Raw genomic sequence first — 19,754 nt, 5'->3', positions numbered from 1 at the left:
TATCAACTACATTTTTAAGAGCTTTCATTAGACTTAAGAGTTATATGATATGAGCACAGCCATTAGAATGCCCCTCACACACATTTCAACTAAAAAGAAAAATGTTCATATAGAAAGAAATAGGAAACAGTAGCAGCACTAGGAACTGAGAAAGAGAAATATAAGGAAACCAAAATTTCTAGTTATGAGTATAGTATAGGCAAGACCACACTGAATGAAGACTTATGGTTAACTCACAATCCACTTTCAGAAAGAATATTGTTATCTTTTGTGAAAAGTGTATTCTCACTAAGCCATTGTGTACTGAAACTCAGAACTGGGAAGCCTTTTCTATTGTACTCTCTCTCCCTGTTTCTCTCTCTGTCTCTGTCTGTCTCTCTCTCTTTCTGTCTCTTCCTCTCTCCTTCTTTTTCTTTCTCTTTTTTCATCTTTTTCTTCCTCCTTATTGCTTCTCTTTGTCCCTTTGGCTCACTTGCTCTTCTTACTAACACACCCTCTCATCATCATCATATGCACAGAATTCACCATAAAGTTTCACGTTGAAAACTCATGGTTGCTTTAAAATTTTCTCCCTTCACATTGGTTTTCCATTTAAATTTTTATTGTCTGTTCCTCAAAATTTTGGCTTACAAGTAGATTTGGGTTAATATTAACTTCACTTGTTTTAAGTTGATTTTTTCACCTAGGATTTTTTAAAATCCATTTTACTTATTTCAAATTTTTAAGATGGGAATATGAGTAGCCAATGGTCATCTGAAGGACTGCCCTTTCTGAAGTGGTTGTCTACCTGTGATTCACATAGCTGTTGATTAGAGAAGGTGGACTAGCATATTACAATCATGGACGACTAGGTCTTCTCCTCCTGCAAGGCCTATTGTTGAATGTATTTAAAACATCTGAGGATATAAATACTCAAAAGTATTTAATGCTGTAGATTTTATTGAGTAGAAAATTATTATGTCAACCTTACAAGATGTTTTCAATTATTAAGTATATAAAACATCTCCTTCAAAAATGTGAGGTGGACTCCTCAGATACAGATTATTTTGAAACTGACTAGCCAAGGGACTTTCTTTCATTCTGCGTGCACAACAGCAAACCTTACCTTTTCTGTGGTTTATATTGGTGGGAATTGCATAGAAAGAAAAAATTCTTTCCCTTCTTTTAATTTTCACATTACAATGCAAAGCAAAACTATGCTGCAATGTGGTCTCTAGTTCCCTATCATGAAAAATTAAAGCTTCTCACTTCAAATTTTCTCATTTTTATTTTCTCTCTACTATAAGTTCTAATAACAACATTTAAACTAAATGATCATCATCCATCTCACCTACTTATATTATTTCTGCCTTCTAATCTTTGCCATCTCTAATGTATGTTTCTGTCTTTCTTGCAGATGGAACAGATTTGGAGTTGAGGCTGGTCAATGGAGACGGTCCCTGCTCTGGGACAGTGGAGGTGAAATTCCAGGGACAGTGGGGGACTGTGTGTGATGATGGGTGGAACACTACTGCCTCAACTGTCGTGTGCAAACAGCTTGGATGTCCATTTTCTTTCGCCATGTTTCGTTTTGGACAAGCCGTGACTAGACATGGAAAAATTTGGCTTGATGATGTTTCCTGTTATGGAAATGAGTCAGCTCTCTGGGAATGTCAACACCGGGAATGGGGAAGCCATAACTGTTATCATGGAGAAGATGTTGGTGTGAACTGTTATGGTAAGAGTCTAACTAGAGTAGGAAGGCAAGGTAAGACCTACCCTCAGGAATCATCTGCTGGAAGGTAGGGGTTTCTATTATGACTTTAATAGTGTCCCTCTGGGAGGTGTAGGAAATATTTTATATATTCTACCCTTCCCTTATTTCCAAAGTAATGTCTAATTGCTTTTCTTTTTATAACTATAACTGAGTTTAGAAAGAAATGGAGAGAGAAAGAGAGAGACAGAGAGAGAATGCATTACAGTTACCAATGTAATATCTTTATCATAACTATAATTGAGTTTAGAAAGAAATGAAGAAGTTTGGGAGCAGGGTTAGCTTTGATTTAAGTGCCTTTTTTCATGTACCAGGTACACTAACAGAACAAATATTTTCTGAAAAATGAGGTATAAAATTAAAGCAAAATGATAAAGAATATCATGCTAATGATTGATTTTTTCACCTAGGATTTTTTTTGTTTGTGTATTTGTGTTTAGAAAAAAGCCTCACATACCCCTCCTATAAGTATTTTCAGTTATTTTTTTTTAATTTTTGGTAACTTCATTCATAACAGGGCTGTCTTCTACGTATCCTTTTGATTTTATTTCAGGCTCAAAGTTGAATCAGTTTTTCATATGTCTGCTTGTCTTTCTCGTAGGTGAAGCCAATCTGGGTTTGAGGCTAGTGGATGGAAACAACTCCTGTTCAGGGAGAGTGGAGGTGAAATTCCAAGAAAGGTGGGGAACTATATGTGATGATGGGTGGAACTTGAATACTGCTGCCGTGGTGTGCAGGCAACTAGGATGTCCATCTTCTTTTATTTCTTCTGGAGTTGTTAATAGCCCTGCTGTATTGCGCCCCATTTGGCTGGATGACATTTTATGCCAGGGGAATGAGTTGGCACTCTGGAATTGCAGACATCGTGGATGGGGAAATCATGACTGCAGTCACAATGAGGATGTCACATTAACTTGTTATGGTAAGAACCCAAGACATCATGTAGAAGAAAGGAACAATTTGTTTAGAAACAGTATGTATGGAAAGAAAAAGGTCAATCATTCTCTGGAGAAGAATTTTCTCTGGTTATAACACATTTTTGTTACCCTGAAATTGCTCCATTCTGGAGTTTTCCTAAACACTCTTCCTAAAACTGCTCTTCCTAACAAATCTAAAGCACATTTTGAGTTTTAATATTTCTGATCACTCAGCAGTATTCCATAGGCCGATCAAATCTTTTTTCTAAAAACCTTTTTCAAATAACTTCTTGACACAATATCATATTTTTCCCTTCTTTCTCTGAGGTCACTCATTCTTAGTCTAGTTTCCCCACTTTACTAATTCTTTCCAGCTACCAAAACTTAGATTTCATCAGGACTAAGTCCCTAATCTCACGCTGCCCTCTTTCCTTTGGCAATTTACTTTCCTAGCTTCAACTAAAATTCCACACCAGACACCTCCTAAGAGCTCTAGATACATATATCCGTGTGCTACGAAGGGTCCAAAATGTACCCGAACCTTAATGTTTCCAAAAGTAAGCTTCTTATACCTGTTTACTCATCATCTAATCTTCCTAAGCTCAGTAAATAGCATTATTACCCACTTCATTATTCAAGTCAGAAATAAGGGATCACTTTTTTTTTTATACTTTAAGTTCTAGGGTACAAGTGCACAACATGCAGGTTTGTTACATAGGTATACATGTGCCATGTTGGTTTGCTGCACCCATCAACTCGTCATATGCATAGGTATTTCTCCTAATGTTATCCCTCCCCCAGCCCCCCACCCCCCAACGGGCCCTGGTGTGTGATGTTCCCTGCCCTGTGTCTATGCGTTCTCGTTGTTCAACTAGGGGATCACTTTTAAGTCCTTCATTTCTCTGTTAGCACACTATATTCATTACATCACCAGATGGAAATGATTATACTATTTAAATATTTTAAAATGTGCCTTCTTCATCTTTTTTTTTTGGATGGAGTCTCATTCTGTCACCCAGGCTGTTGCCCAGGCTGGAGTGTAGTGGCATGATCTCGGCTCACTGCAACCTCCACCTCCTGGGTTCGAGCTATTCTTCTGCCTCAGCTTCCTGAGTATCTGGAACTGCAGGCACCCGCAACCACGCCCGGCTACAGTATTTTTAATAGAGGTGGTGTTTCACCATATTGGCCAGGCTGGTCTTGATCTCCTGATCTTGTGATCTGCCCGCCTCAGCCTCCCAAAGTGCAGGGATTACAGCCGTGAGCCACCGCACCCGGCTGAAGAATGCGGCTTCTTTTCACCATTTCCATTACTATCAGTATAAACCAAGCAACAATCACTTACCACCTCTAAGAAGTCACTACGGAAAGCAACGACCTCTCCCCAGTGACCTCTCTGTAGTCATTTCAAACACCTTCAAATCCATTTTCCACAGTGCAGCTGAAGTGATGTTTTTTGCAGCACGTTTAGTTGACTTTATAGTAATATAGGAAATTTCTTATTATCTACGAGATGTTGCTACTCTCTCCTCTTTTCTGCTTGATCTCTGCTGCGTTCTTTCATGTACGTGATATTTTCCAACCCACCTCAGAACATTGAGACATTCTGTTCCTCTAGGTAGAAAAAAACTCTTCCTCCTTCATTTCTCTTGGCTAAATTTGGTTATCCATTAACATCATCTTAAAGAGCATTTCCTCAGGGAAGCCTTCCCCAAATATAAACATATCCTATTCATATGCTATGATGGCACTCTGTCCTCATTCTTCATGTGTTAATAACATTTTAGTTATTTAATTTCCCGCCTTCTCTCAAATATGCTAATACCAGAGGGATGGGAATTATTTTAAACTTATGTATTCCTAACAATTAGCACAGTTTTCAGCAATTTTAGGTGATCTATACATGTTTATGTTTTAACTGGTTAATTTATTAGAAACTCGGAGAGGTGGAAGAGGCATAGAAAATATGATAAATCTTTGTTCTTATTCTTAAAATCCAATTCCTATCATTTTTTTATGTTTGGAATTTCAGGAAGATACAAAGTTCTTTAATTTCTAAGTGATCTGTCTCTTACTGGCTGACAGAGTTCTTACAACAAGTGAATAATCTGAAAGAACTTAAAGTCTTGGAGTAGTTCAAAGTCAGGAAGAGTACTTAGAACCTTCTGTAAAGTCTTCTAATTTCTTCTATTTTTTCTTCTACAAACATCTACAGGTTTGTAAACTCCAATAAATGTTTTGAAATAAAGATACAAATTAGTATCAGATTATTTAATAGGATGACTCACTTAATGTAAGTCTTTAGAATTGGCTTTACTGAAATCTGAGGTGTTAAAAGCAGTTTTTCAATAAACAGTATTTCAAAAGGAGAAACCCAATTCTCCTGAAGTAAGAAAGGACTTGGTGGCCTCCAAGGGTAGAGAAAACACTGGAGTAGCTATAACTTAATGAGGAAGGTTGAGTGATAGTTGATGAAGCTGAGGGCTGGTACTCAGACTGGGGAGCTATGGCAAGAGTTTTAGACTTTATTTTAATAGGCAAGGGTATTCTTTGAAGGGTTTTATGCAGATAATTACCATGATAAAATTTGATTATTAAAATATCATGTGGACTAACTGAATGAAGAATAGCTTTTGAGAGCCAAGCTTGGATGCAGAGACAGAAGTTAAGAAGACCCTGAAGGAGGTCAGGTAAGACATGATAGTGGTTTGACTAGGGCTAAAATAGTTAAGATAGAGATAAGTGGATGGATTGGAGTTATATTTACACAGCAGCTTTGATAGTACCAAGAGAAGTGAAAAAAGAGGTGAGAAAGAAAGAAGGGTAAGAATTTTTCCCAAATTTCTTATGGGTACAGCCTTGTAGCTAGTAGTACCATTTAAAAGAAAGATGCTAAGAGTGTTGGAACATTTTTGAGGGACTTGGAAGATATGTAGGTGGATATTCCCACTGGAAATTCTCAGAAGAAATGTATGAATTAGAGATATAAATTTAGTATCAGCATATCAGTAGTGCTTGAGGCCTTTGCAATTGATAAAATCTTGGGAGATTTTAGAGGAATCTGGACGGATATGTTTTTGTGGTTTACAAATTTTCTATAAAGACAAATCCAAGGAAATTCTTAAAACATTTTTGATTATTTCCAGTAATGCCTACTGAGGTGGACATTTTATTTTTATTTTTAAATGTCATAATAGCCCCTAAGAATTCTATTATTTAACCTAAAATATGTTTTAATTGTTACATGGTTTGAAAAACTTTATGACGAAATGAGGAAGATAAAAGTATTCAGTTACAATTTCAAATTTGAGATAATACCCTTTATTTTACATAGTTTTTTCTTGTTTATTAAACTTTGCTACACATATCTTCTGATTATGTTCAACAATTTTGGCACATAACACAATATTGTATATATAATTACATTTTTAAAAGTCAGTTTTTGTAGAAGAAACTCGGATTAAATAATTTGTTATTTATATTTTTACTTTGGTATTGATGCCTATAGACTAGTTTGATTGGATTACTTAAATCTGCAAACATAATTTATTTATTTCTTCCAGCTACCTGGGATCTGTGAAAGGAACATCAGCAGCAGAATTAGCAAAAGTTAGTTTTATATTTTCACTATGTTTAAGTAACCACAAATGTCCCCAAAAGTGCAAAATAGAGTATCAAATTCTTGCCAAAATTACAGCCAGTTGAAAGCAAGTAGTAATGATGAGCATGGTTTATAGGTATAGAAACAAAAGAGAACAAAGGGAAGTCAAGTCTAGGTTTGATACAGTACAGCTGAATGGGAGAATGAAGAAGTGAGGAACGGGGCTTTAGTCCAGAAGCTGGTAAATCATATCAAAATACTGGCTTACAGTGGGAGAATACTACTCTGAGTGGAGAAAGGAACTAAAGAGATAAGTGATAAGTGACAAAGAGGTGATTTTTCTAGGGCTTTTTCTTGTTGTGTACTAGACACAATGACTGATTCTATGAAAAATAAGAAAAAAGTATGTGTTACATATTTTATCCTCAAGGAACTAGTAATCTACTGGGCAAACGATATGAATACATGCCATCTAAAGAACACTGAAAGTGAATGTATATTTCATACTAAATAGATTCCATTGACTTAAAAAAATTTTTTTTATCAGTACAATTGACTATGTTATGTAGCTAAATAAAATATATTCCCTAATTTTACTCCGTATTTTAGTTTCTGGATGATAGTTAAAACCATAAAGGGGATATCTTGGCAATCAAAACAGCTAGGATTTTATAGTTTTATTTAAAGTTGTTTGGCTTCAGTTACAGATTTTTCAGTTATAGAAACCCAGTTTTGCCAAGGGCAACCAGAAATTATCTGATTCAGCAGGATTTATCTGTTACTAAATTTATAATAGAATGACATATAAACAAAGCTTCAAATTATTGTTTTGCAATTAGCAATATAACTACCAAGTAGGCCAGAATGTTTTTGAAAATTGGTCAGAATATACACTCTTCATAGGAAATTTATTATATAATTGTATAATGTGTTTGATGAGACTTAACTAAGAGCAAAAGAAGCAAGGGAAGTAAGTTATAATTAATCATTGACCAGTACCATTAAATACAGACAATCTGAAACCTCTATAATTTGGAAGGATACCTACATGAGGGGAATGGATTGTTAGGTTCACTGAACAAGAATCACATTTGCAGGTATGACATTGTCAAATTCTTGCTATCTGACCTGCCTTTATCATTTTATTAAAGCCCTTAAATGAGTTTGTTGGACATGTAAAAAGCTGTACGTATTTAATATACACAACCTGATGAGTTTGAGAAAAACTGTAAACCCATGAGCCCATCGCCACCATCAAGGCCATAAGAATATGCATCACCTCCCAAAGTTTCTTCCCACTCATTTTATTATTAATTTTTTGATGGTAAGAACATTTAACATAGTATCTACCTTCGTAGCTGCTTTTAAGCATGCAATACAGTACCTGTAGGTCTTTTGAGGTAGAATGAACATTTTAACAATATTAATTATTTTAATCCATAAACATGGGATATCTTTCCATGATTTTTATCAATGACTTCTGGTTTTCAGAATCTACTGGGCAAACGATATGAAGACATGCCATCTAAAGAACATTGAAAGTGAATATATATTTGATGCCCTTTAAAAGAAGCTATATTCTGCTACTTTAGATGGAATGTTACATATATGTCTGTTAGGTTCCTTTAGTCTATAGTGTTGTTCAAGTCCGCTATTTCCTTATTGATTTTCTGTTTGAATTATCTGTCCATTTTTGAAAGTGGAGTATTAAAATCCCTACTATTACGTATTACTATTTCTCCCTTTCAATCTCTTAATATTCGCTTTATATGTTTAGGTGCTTTGACAGGGGCTCATATATATTTTTTCTTGTTATATCCTCTTGATGAATTAACCCCTTTATCATTATATAATGGACTTCTTTGTTTCTTTTTACAATTTTGGACTTAAATCTGTTTTGTCAGATATAAGCACAGGTGCTCTAGCTTACTTTTGGTTGCCATTTACATGAAATACATTTTTCCATCTCTATTTTCAGCCTATGTGTGTCCTAAAACTAAAGAAGTGAGTCCCTTGTAAGCAGCATATATTTGGACCATGTTTTTTCTTAATCCATTCAACCACTCTGTCTATTTATTTATTTTTTACTTTAGGTTCTGGTATACATGTACAGAACATGCAAGTTTGTTACATGGGTAGACATGTGCCAGGGCGGTTTGCTGCACCTATCAACCTGGTTTTGGGGGAACAGGTGGTATTTGGTTACATGAATAAGTTCTTTAGTAGTGATTTCTCAGATTTTGGTGCACCCATCACCTGAGCAGTGTACACTGTATCCAATGTGTAGTTTTTATCCCTTACCCACCTCCCACCCTTTCTCCCAAGTCCCCAAAGTCCTTTTTATTATTTATTTATTTATTTATTTTTACTTTAAGTTCTGGGATATATGTGCTGAACATGCAGATTTGTTACATAGATATACATGTGCCATGGTGATTGGCTGACCTATCAACCTGTCATCTAGGTTTTAAGCCCCACATGCATTAGGTATTCGTCCTAATGCTCTCCCTCCCCTTGCCCCCCATTCCCAGACATGCCCAAGTGTCTGATGTTCCCCTCTGTGCGTTCATCTGTTCTCATTGTTCAACTCCCACTTATGAGTGAGAACATGTGGTGTTTGATTTTCTGTTCTTGTGTTAATTTGCTGAGAATGATGGTTTCCAGCTTCATCCATGTCCCTGCAAAGAACATGAACTCATTCTTTTTTATGGCTGCATAGTATTCCATGGTGTATATGTGCCACGTTTCCTTTATCCAGTCTATCATTGATGGGCATTTGGGTTGGTTCCAAGTCTTTGCTTTTGTAAATAGTACTGCAATAAACATATGTGTGCATATGTTTTTATAATAGAATGATTTATAATCTTTGGGTATTTACCCAGTAATGGGATTGATGGGTCAAATGGTATTTCTAGTTCTAAACCCTTGAGGAATCACCACAGTCTTCCACAATGGTTGAACTAATTTACATCTCCACATCCTCGCCAGCATCTGTTGTTTCCAGAGTTTTTAATGATTGCCATTCTAACTGGTGTGAGATGTATCTCATTGTGGTTTTGGTTTGCATTTCTCTAATGACCAGTGATGATGAGCTTTTTTTCAAATGTTTGTTGAAGACATTTATGTGGCCAACATAATGTCTGTTCACATCCTTTGCCCACTTTTTGATGGGGTTGTTTTTTTTCTTGTAAACTTGCTTAAGTTCCTTATAGATTCTGGATATTAGCCCTTTGTCAGATGGACAGACTGCAAAAATTTTCTCCCATTCTGTAGGTTGCCTGTTCACTCTGTTCACTTCTTTTGCAGAGCAGAACCTCTGTAGTTTAATTAAATCCTATTTGTCAATTTTGGCTTTTGTTGCCATTGCTTTTGGTGTTTTAGTCATAAAGTCTTTGCCCGTGCCTATATCCTGAATGGTATTGCCTAGGTTTTCTTCTAGGGTTTGTATGATTTTAGGTTTTACATTTAAGTCTTTAATCCATCTTGAGTTAATTTTTGTATAAAGTGTAAGGAAGGGTTCCAGTTTCAGTTTTCTGCATATGGCTAGCCAGTTTTCCCAGCATCATTTGTTAAACAGGGAATCCTTTCCCCATTGCTTGTTTTTGTCATGTTTATCAAGGATCAGATGGTTGTAGATGTGTTGTGTTCTTTCTGAGGCCTCTGTTCTATTCCATTGGTCTATATTTCTGTTTTGGCACCAGTACCATGCTGGTTTGTTTACTACCTTGTAGTGTAGTTTTGAAGTTAGGTAGCATGATGCCTTCAGCTTTGTTCTTTTTGCTTAGAATTGTCTTGGCTATATGGGCTCTTTTTTGGTTCCATATGAATTTTAACGTAGTTTTTTCTAGTTCTGTAAAGAAAGTCAATGGTAGCTTGATAGGAATGGCATTGAATCTATAAATTACTTTGGGCAGTATGGCCATTTTCACAGTATTGAATCTTTTTATCCATGAGCATTGAATGTTTTTCCATTTGTTTGTGTCCTGTCTGATTTCTTTGAGCAGCAGTTTGTAGTTCTCCTTGAAGAGGTCCTTCATGTCCCTTGTAAGTTGTATTCCTAGGTATTTTATTATTTTTGTAGCAATTGTGCATGGGAGTTCACTCATGATTTGGCTCTCTGTTTGTCTATTATTGGTGTATAGGAATGCTTGTGATTTTTGCACATTGATTTTGTATGCTGAGACTGCTGAAGTTGCTTATCAGCTTAAGGAGTTTTTGGACTGATACGATGGGGTTTTCTAAATATACAATCATGTCATCTGCAAACAAAGACCATTTGACTTCCTCTCTTCCTATTTGAATACCCTTTATTTCTTTCTCTTGCCTGATTGCCCTGGCCAGAACTTCCAACACTATGTTGAATAGGAGTGGTGAGAGAGGGCATCCTTGTCTTGTGCTGGTTTTCAAAGGGGATGCTTCCAGCTTTTGCCCATTCAGTATGATATTGGCTATGGGTTTGTCATAAATAGCTCTTATTATTTTGAGATGTCTTCCATCAATACCTAGTTTATTGAGAGTTTTTTTTTTTTTTACCATGAAGGGATGTTGAATTTTATTGAAGACCTTTTCTGCATCTATTGAGATACTAATGTGGTTTCTGTCACTGGTTCTGTTTATGTGATGGATTACGTTTATTGATTTGTGTATGTTGAACCAGCCTGGCATCCCAGGGATGAAGCCGATTTGATCGTGGTGGATAAGCTTTGATGTGCTGCTGGATTCAGTTTGCCAGTATTTTATTGAGGATTTTTGCATTGATGTTCATCAGGGATATTGACCTGAAATTTCCTTTTTTGTCATGTCTCTCCCAGGTTTTGGAATCAGGATAAGGCTGGCCTCATAAAATTGAGTTCGGGAGGAGTCCCTTTTTTTCTATTGTTTGTAATAGTTTCAGAAGGAATGGTACCAAATCCTCTTTGTACCTCTGGCAGAGTTCGGCTGTGAATCCATCTGGTCCTGGGCTTTTTTGGGTTGGTAAGCTATTAATTAGGGCCTCATTTTCAGAACTTGTTATTGGTCTATTCAGGGATTCAACTTCTTCCTGGTTTAGTCTTGGGAGGGGGTATGTGTCCAGGAATTTATCCAAATATTTTAGGTTTTCTAGCTTATTTGTGTAGAGGTGGATATAGTGTTCTCTGACGGTAGTTTGTATTTCTGTGGGATCAGTGGTGATATCCCCTTTATCATTTTTTATTGTGTCTATATGATTCTTCTCTCTTTTCTTTCTTATTAGTCTGGCTAGTGGTTTATCTATATTGTTAATCTTTTCAAAAAACCAGCTCCTGGGTTGATTGTTTTTTTGAAGGTTTTTTTCTGTCTCTGTCTCTTTCAGTTTTGCTCTTATCTTAGTTATTTCTTGACTTTTGCTAGCTTCTAAATTTGTATGCTCTCCTTCTCTAGTTCTTTTAATTGTGATGTTAGGGTGTCAATTTTAGATCTTCCCTGCTTTCTGATGTGGGCATTTAATGCTATAAATTTCCCTCTTAGCACTGTGTTAGCTGTGTCCCAGAGATTCTGGTGCATTGTCTCTTTGTTCTCATTGGTTTCAAGGAACTTCATTATTTCTGCCTTAGTTTTGTTATTTACTTAGTAGTCATTCAGAAGCAAGTTGTTCAGTTTCCATGTAGTTGTGTGGTTTTGAGTGTGCTTCTTAATTCTGGGGTTCTAATTTGATTGCACAGTGGCCTGAGAGACTGTTTGTTATGATTTCTGTTCTTTTGCATTTGCTGAGGAGTGTTTATTTCCAATTATGAGGTCGAGCTTAGAATAAGTGCTATGTGGTGCTGAGAAAAATGTATATTCTGTTGATTTGCTGTGGAGAGTTTTGTAGATATCTATTAGGTTTGCTTGGTCCAGAGCTGAGTTGAACTCTTGAATATCCTTGTTAAATTTCTGTCTCGTTGATCTTTCTAATATTGGAAGTGGGGTGTTAAAGTCTCCCACTATTATTGTGTCAAAGTCCAAGTCTGTTTGTAGGTCTTAAAGAACTGGTTTTATGAATCTGGTGCTCCTGTATTGGGTGCACCTGTGTGTATATATATATATACACACACACACACACACACACATATGTATATATATTTATATATATTCATATACATATATACACATATATACATGTATATATATGAATATATATGAGATAGTTATGATATGAGATATATATGAATATATATGAGATATATATATGAAATAACCTTTTTTCATATATATATGAAAAGCATATTATGTTCTTCTCTAAACTGATTATTCTAGTTAGTAGTTCTTTAACCTTTTTTCAAGGTTCTTAGCTTCCTTGCATTGGGTTAGAACATGTTCCTTTAGCTCAGAGGAGTTTCTTATTACCCACCTTCTGAAGCCTCGTTCTGTCATTTCATCAAACTCATTCTCTCTAGTTTTGTGCCCTTGCTGGAGAGGAGTTGCAATCATTTGGAAGAAAAGAGATATTCCGGTTTTGGGAATTTTCAGCATTTATGCGCTGGTTTTTCCTCATCTTCGTGGGTTTATCTACCTTAGATCTTTGTGGCTGAAGACCTTTGCATGGGGTTTCTGTGTGGACATTCTTTTGTTGATGTTGATGTTATTGCTTTTTGTCTGTTAGTTTTTCTTCTATCAGTCATGCCCCTCTTCTCCAGGTCTGCTGCAGTTTGCTTGGGCTCCACTCCAGACCCTATTTGCCTAGTTATCACCAGCGGAGTGTGCAGAACGGCAAATATTGCTGCCTGCTCTTTCCTCTAGAAGCTTTGTCCCAGAGGGCACCGGCATGATGCCAGCCAGAGCTCTCCTGCATGAGGTGTCTGTCAATCCCTGTTAGGAGTTCTCTCCCAGTCAGGAGTCATGGAGTTCAGGGACCCACTTGAGGAGGCAGTTTTTCCCTTAGCAGAGCTCGAGCACTGTGGTAGTAGAACCCTCCTTGTCAGGATCTGCTGCTCTATTCTCCATTATATCATTCTTATGCCTTTGCATCTTCATAGCTTAGCTCCCACTTATGAGTGAGAACATATGGTGTTTGGTTTTCCATTCCTGAGTTACTTCACTTAGAAGAAAAAATATATATATATATATATATATATACACACACACATATATACATATATACGTATATGTATTTATGTACACATACATATATGTATATGTACATATGCACGTATATGTATATATGTACATATATGTATATGTGTACATATATGTATATATGTACATATATGTATATGTGTACATATATGTATATGTATATATGTACATGTATATATGTACATATATGTATATGTATATGTGTACGTATATGTATATATGTACATATATGTATATGTATATGTACATATATGTATATATGTACATATATGTATATATATGTATATATGTACATATATGTATATGTATATATGTACATATATGTATATATACATTTGGAAGATATATATACATATATATCTTCCAAATGTATATATACATATATACACATATATATACATTTGGAAGATATATATACATATATATCTTCCAAATGTATATATACATATATACACACATATATATATACACACATTTGGAAGATATATACATATATATCTTCCAAATGTATATATACATATATATACACATATATATACCCATATATATACATATATACACATATATATACATATATACATATATATACATTTATACACATATATACATATATACGTATATATACATTTTCTTCCAAATGTATATATACATATATATACGTATATATATACGTATATATACATATATACGTATATACATATATATACACGTATATATATATGTATATATATACACGTATATATATATATGTATATATATACCACAATTTCTTTACCCAGTCATTGATTGATGGGCATTTGGGCTGTTGCCATGTTTGTGCAATTGCAAATTGTGCTGCTATAAACATGCATGTGCAAATACCTTTTTCAGATAATGACTTCTTTTCCTCTCGGTAGAGACCCAGTAGTGGGATTGTTGGGTCTAATGATAGTTTTACTTTTAGTTCTTTAAGGAATTTCCACACTGTTTTTCGTAGAGGTTGTACTAGTTTATATTCTCACCAGCAGTGTAAAAGTTTTCCCTTTTCACCACATTGAAACCATCTATTACTTTTTGATTATGGCCATTCTTGCAGGAGTAAGATGGTATTGCATTGTGGCTTTTACTTGCATTTCTCTGATCATGAGTGATGTTGAGAGTTTTTTCATCTTTGTTGGTCATTTGTATTTTTTCTTTTGAGAATTGTCTATTTGTGTCCTTAGCCCACTTTTTGATAGTATTGTTTGTTTTTTTTCTTGCTAATTTGTTTGAGTTCCTTGTAGATCCTGTAAATTAGTCTTTTGTCGGATGTGTAGATTGTGAAGATTTTCTTCAACTCTGTGGGTTTTCTGTTTGCCCTACTGATTGTTTCTTTTGCTGTGCAGAAGCTTTTTTATTTAATTAAGTCTCATCTATTTATCTTTTTTTATGTTGCATCTGCTTTTGTGTTCTTGGTCATGAAGTCTTTGCCTAAGCCAACATCTAGAAGGGTTTTTCCGATGTTATCTTTTAGAATTTTTACGGTTTCGGGTCTTAGATTTAAGTCTTTGATCCATCTTGAATTGATTTTTGTATAGAGTGAGAGATGAGGATCCGTTTTCACTCTTTTACATGTGGCTTGCCAATTATCCCAGTACCATTTGTTGAATAGGGTGTCCTTTCCCCACTTTATGTTTTTGTTTACTTTGTTAAAGATCAGTTGGCTGTAAATATTTGGCTTTATTTCTGGGTACTCTTTTCCATTCCACTGATCTATGTGCCTATTTTTATACTAGTACCATGCTGTCTTGGTGACTATTGCCTTATAGTTTGAAGTGAAGTTATGTGATACCTCCAGATTTGTTCTTTTTGCTTAGTCTTGCTTTGGCTATACATGCTCTTTTTTGGTTCCATATGATTTCTAGGATTGTTTTTTCTAGTTCTGTGAAGAATGATGAAGATATTTTGGTGGGAATTTCATTGAATTTTTAGATTGCCTTTGGCAGTATAATAAATTTTTTTTTTGCAGCTATTGTAAAAACAGTTGAGTTCTTGATTTGATTCTCAACTTGGTCACTGCTGTTGTATGCAGAGCTACTGATTTGTATACATTAATTTTGTATCCTGTAACTTTGCTGAATTCTTTTATCAGTTCTAGGAGCTTTTTGTTGGAGGTCTTTAGGGTTTTCTAGGTATATGATCATATCAGCAAGCAACAACAGCTTGACTTTCTCTTTACTAATTTGGATGCTCTGTATTTCTTTCTCTTGTCTGATTTCTCTGGCTAAGGCTTTCAGTACTATGTTCAATAGAAGTGGTGAAAGTGGGCATCCTTGTCTTGTTCCAGTTCTCGGGGGAATGCTTTCAATGTTTCCCCAATTCAGTAGAATGTTGGCTGTGGGTTTGCCATAGATGGCTTTTATTACCTTAAGTTATATCCCTTCTATGCTGATTTTGCTGATGGTTTTAATCACAAAGTGATGCTGGATTTTGTTAAATGCTTTTTCTGCATCTGTTGATCATGTGATTTTCGCTTTTAATTCTGTTTATGTGGTGTACCACATTTATTGACTTGTGTTTGTTTAACCATCCCTCATCCCTGGTATGAAACCCACTTGATCATGGTGGATTATCTTTCTGATAATGTTGTTGGATTCAATTAGCTAGTGTTTTGTTAAGGATTTTTGCATCTAGATTTATCAGGCAATTTTCTTTTATTGTTATGTCCTTTCCTGGTTTTGGTATTAGGGTGATACTGGCTTCACAGGATGATTTACGGAGGATTCTCTCTGAATCTTGTGGAATAGTGTCAATAGGATTGGTATCAATTCTTCTTTGAATATCTGATAGATTTCAGCTGTGAATCCATCTGGTTCTGGACTTTTTTTGTTCTCATTTTTAAAAATTACCATTTCAATATCACTGCTTGCTATTGGTCTGTTCAGAGTTTCTATTTCTTCCTGGTTTAATCTAGAAGAATTGTATATTTCCAGAAATTTACCTATCTCCTATTGGTTTTCTAGTTTATGCATTTAAGGATGTTCATGGTAGCCTTGAATGATTGTTTGTATTTCTGTGATATTGGTTGTAATATTTCTTATTTTGTTTCTATTTGAGCTTATTTGGATCTTCTCTTTTATCTTGGTTAATCTCACTAATTGTTTATCAATTTTATTTATCTTTTCAAAGACCCAGCTTTTTGTTTCATTCATCTTTTTTGTTGTTGTTTTTCAATTTCATTTAGTTCTGCTCTGATCTTTGGTATAATTTTCTTCTGCAGGATTTGGGTTTGGTTTGTTATTGTTTCTCTAGTTCCTTTAGGTGTGCCCTTAGATTGTCTATTTATACTCTTTCAGACCTTCTGATGCAGGCATTTAAGGCTATGAACTTTGCTCTTAGCACCACCTTTGTTGTATTCCAGAGGTTTTTATAGGTTGTGTGACTATTATCATTCAGTTCAAAGAATTTTTAAATTTCCATCATGATTTCATTGTTGACCCAATGCTCATTCAGGAGCAGATTATGTAATTTCCATGTATTTGCATTGTTTTGAGGGTTTCTTTTGGGGTTGATTTCCAATTTTCTTCCATTGTGGTGTGAGAGTGTACTTGATATAATTTTGGTTTTCTTAAATGTGTGGAGACTCGTTTTGTGGCATAACATATAGTCTATTTTAGAGAATATTCCATGTGCTGATGAATAGAATGCATATTCTGCAGTTGTTGGGTAAAATTTTCTGTAAAAGTGTGTTAAGTCCATTTGTTCTGCCTCTTATTTGCCATTTTTACCTCTACACTCTGTTTTTTCATTAGAGAATTTAATCAATTTACATTTAAAGCAGTTATTGATAGGTAAGGACCTATTGATGCTATTTTGTTAATTATCTTACACTGTTTTGAGACACAATAACAACAAAAAACTGCAGGCCAATATCCCTGATGAACATCGATGTGAAAATCCTCAATAAAATACCGGCAAACTAAATCCAGCAGCACATCAAAAAGCTTGTCCACCAAGATCAAGTCGTCTTCATCCCTAGGATGCAAGGCTGATTCAACATATGCAAATCAATAAATGTAATCTATCACATTAACAGAACCAATGACAAAAACCACATGATTATCTCAATAGATGCAGAAAAGACCTTCAATAAAATTCAACATCCCTTCATGGTAAAAACTCTCAATAAACTAGGTATTGATGGAATGTATCTCAAAATAATAAGAGCTATTTATGACAAACCCATAGCCAATATCATACTGAATGGGCAAAAGCTGGAAACATCCCCTTTGAAAACCAGCACAAGACAAGGATGCCCTGTCTCATCACTCCTATTCAACATAATGTTGGAGGTTCTGGCCAGGGCAATCAGGCAAGAGAAAGAAATAAAGGTATTCAAATAGAAGGAGAGGAAGTCAAATAGTCTCTGCACATGACATGATTGTATAGTTAGAAAACCCCATCATCTCAGCCCAAAATCTCCTTAAGCTGATAAGCAACTTCAGCAAAGTCTCAGGATAGGAAATCAATGTGCAAAAATCACAAGCATTCCTGTACACCAATAATAGACAAACAGAGAGCCAAATCATGAGTGAACTCCCATTCACAATTGCTACTGAGAGAATAAAATACCTAGGAATACAACTTACAAGGGACATGAAGGACCTCTTCAAGGAGAACTACAAACCACTGCTCAAGGAAATAAGAGAGGACACAAACATGGAAAAACATTCCATGCTCATAAATAGGGAGGATCAATATCATGAAAATGGCCACACTGCCCAAAGTAATTTATAGATTCAATGCTATCCCCATCAAGCTACCATTGCCTTTCTTCACAGTACTAGAAAAAACTACTTCATATTGCATATGGAACCAAAAAAGAGCCTGTTTGGCCAAGACAGTCCTAAGCAAAAAGAACAAAGCTGGAGGCATCATGCTATCTGACTTTAAACTATACCTCAAGGCTACAGTAACTGAAACAGCATGGTACTCATACCAAAACAGATATATAGACCAATGGAACAGAACACAGGCCTCAGAAATAATGCCACACACCTACAACCATCTGATCCTTGACAAACCTGACAAAAACAAGCAATGGGGAAAGGATTCCTCATTTAGTAAATGGCATTGGGAAACTGGATAGCCATATGCAGAAAACTGAAACTGGAACCCTTCCTTACACCTTATACAAAAATTAATTCAAGATGGATTAAAGACTTAAACATAAGACCTAAAACCATAAAAACCCTAGAAGAAAACCTAGGCAATACCATTCAGGACAAAGGCATGGGCAAAGACTTCATGACTAAAACACCAAAAGCAATGGCAACAAAAGCCAAAATTGACAAATGGGATCTAATTAAACTAAGGAGCTTCTGCACAGCAAAAGAAAACTATCATCAGAGTGAATAGTCAACCTACAAAATGAGAGAAAATTTTTGCAACCTATCCTTCTGACAAAGGGCTAATATCCAGAATCTACAAGGAATTCAAGCAAATCAAAAGCAAACCAGCCCATCAAAAAGTGGGTGAAGGATATGAACAGACACTTCTCAAAAGAAGACATTTATGTGGCCAACAAACATATGAAAAAAAGCTCATCATCACTGGTCGTCTGAGAAATGCAAACCAAAACCACAATGAGATACATTTCACGCTAGTTAGAATGTTGATCATTAAAAAGTCAGGAAACAACAGATGCTGGAGGCAATGTGGAGAAATAGGAATGCTTTTACACTGTTGATGGGAGTGTAAATTAGTTCAACCATTGTGGAAGACAGTGTAGCATTTCCTCAAGGATCTAGAACCATAAATACCATTTTACCCAACAATCCCATTACTGGGTATATACCCAAAGGATTATAAATCATTCTACTATAAAGATACATGCACTTGCATGTTTATTGTGGCACTGTTCACAATAGCAAAGACTTGGAACCAACTTAAATGCCCATCAATGATAGACTGGATAAAGAAAACGTGGCACGTATACACCATGGAATACTATGTAGCCAAAAAACGGGTGAGTTTATGTCCTTTGCAGGGACGTGGATGAAGCTGGAAACCATCATTCTCAGCAAGCTAACACAATAACAGAAAACCAAACACTGCATGTTCTCACTTATAAGTTGGAGTCAAACAGTGAGAACACATGGACACTGGGAGGGAAACATCACACACCAGGGCCTGTTGGGGGTTGGGGGGGTAGGGGAGTGATAGCATTAGAAGAAATACTTTATGTAGATGACTGGTTGATGGGTGCCCCAAACCACCATGGCACATGTATTTCTGTGTAACAAACCTGCATGTTCTGCACATGTATCCCAGAACTTAAAGTATAATAAAAAATATTATTTTACACTGTTTTATAGTCTTTCTATTTTTCCCCCTCTTAAAGTCTTCTTTTGTGATGTGATTATTCTTTTGTAGTAGTATTCTTTGATTC

General features: G+C 35.5%; 1 protein-coding gene across 10 annotated transcripts in view; it reads left to right on the top strand.

The window, feature by feature from the left end:
• Positions 1–19,754, top strand: part of CD163L1 (CD163 molecule like 1) — a 125,386-nt gene that overhangs the window by 9,063 nt on the left and 96,569 nt on the right. For 6 of the 10 annotated variants that reach the window (XR_931282.3, XR_007063068.1, XR_007063067.1 and 3 more), the window contains 2 exons: positions 1,397–1,717; positions 2,355–2,675. Coding sequence is in view for 5 of the 10 variants with exons in the window: in XM_011520616.2 (XP_011518918.1) it covers positions 1,397–1,717; positions 2,355–2,675 (642 nt within the window). In the remaining 5 variants the exon portion in view is untranslated. Of the gene's footprint in view, positions 1–1,396; positions 1,748–2,354; positions 2,676–4,702; positions 4,886–6,233; positions 6,280–19,754 lie in introns of those variants that run through there. The other 4 variants (XM_011520619.2, NM_001297650.2, XM_011520620.2 and 1 more) reach the window with 4 other exon arrangements.

This window comes from Homo sapiens, chromosome 12 (assembly GCF_000001405.40).
Source record: "Homo sapiens chromosome 12, GRCh38.p14 Primary Assembly".
NCBI lineage: Eukaryota > Metazoa > Chordata > Mammalia > Primates > Hominidae > Homo > Homo sapiens.
Note: the sequence above shows the minus strand (reverse complement) of the source record. Positions and strands in the feature narration are given on the sequence as shown.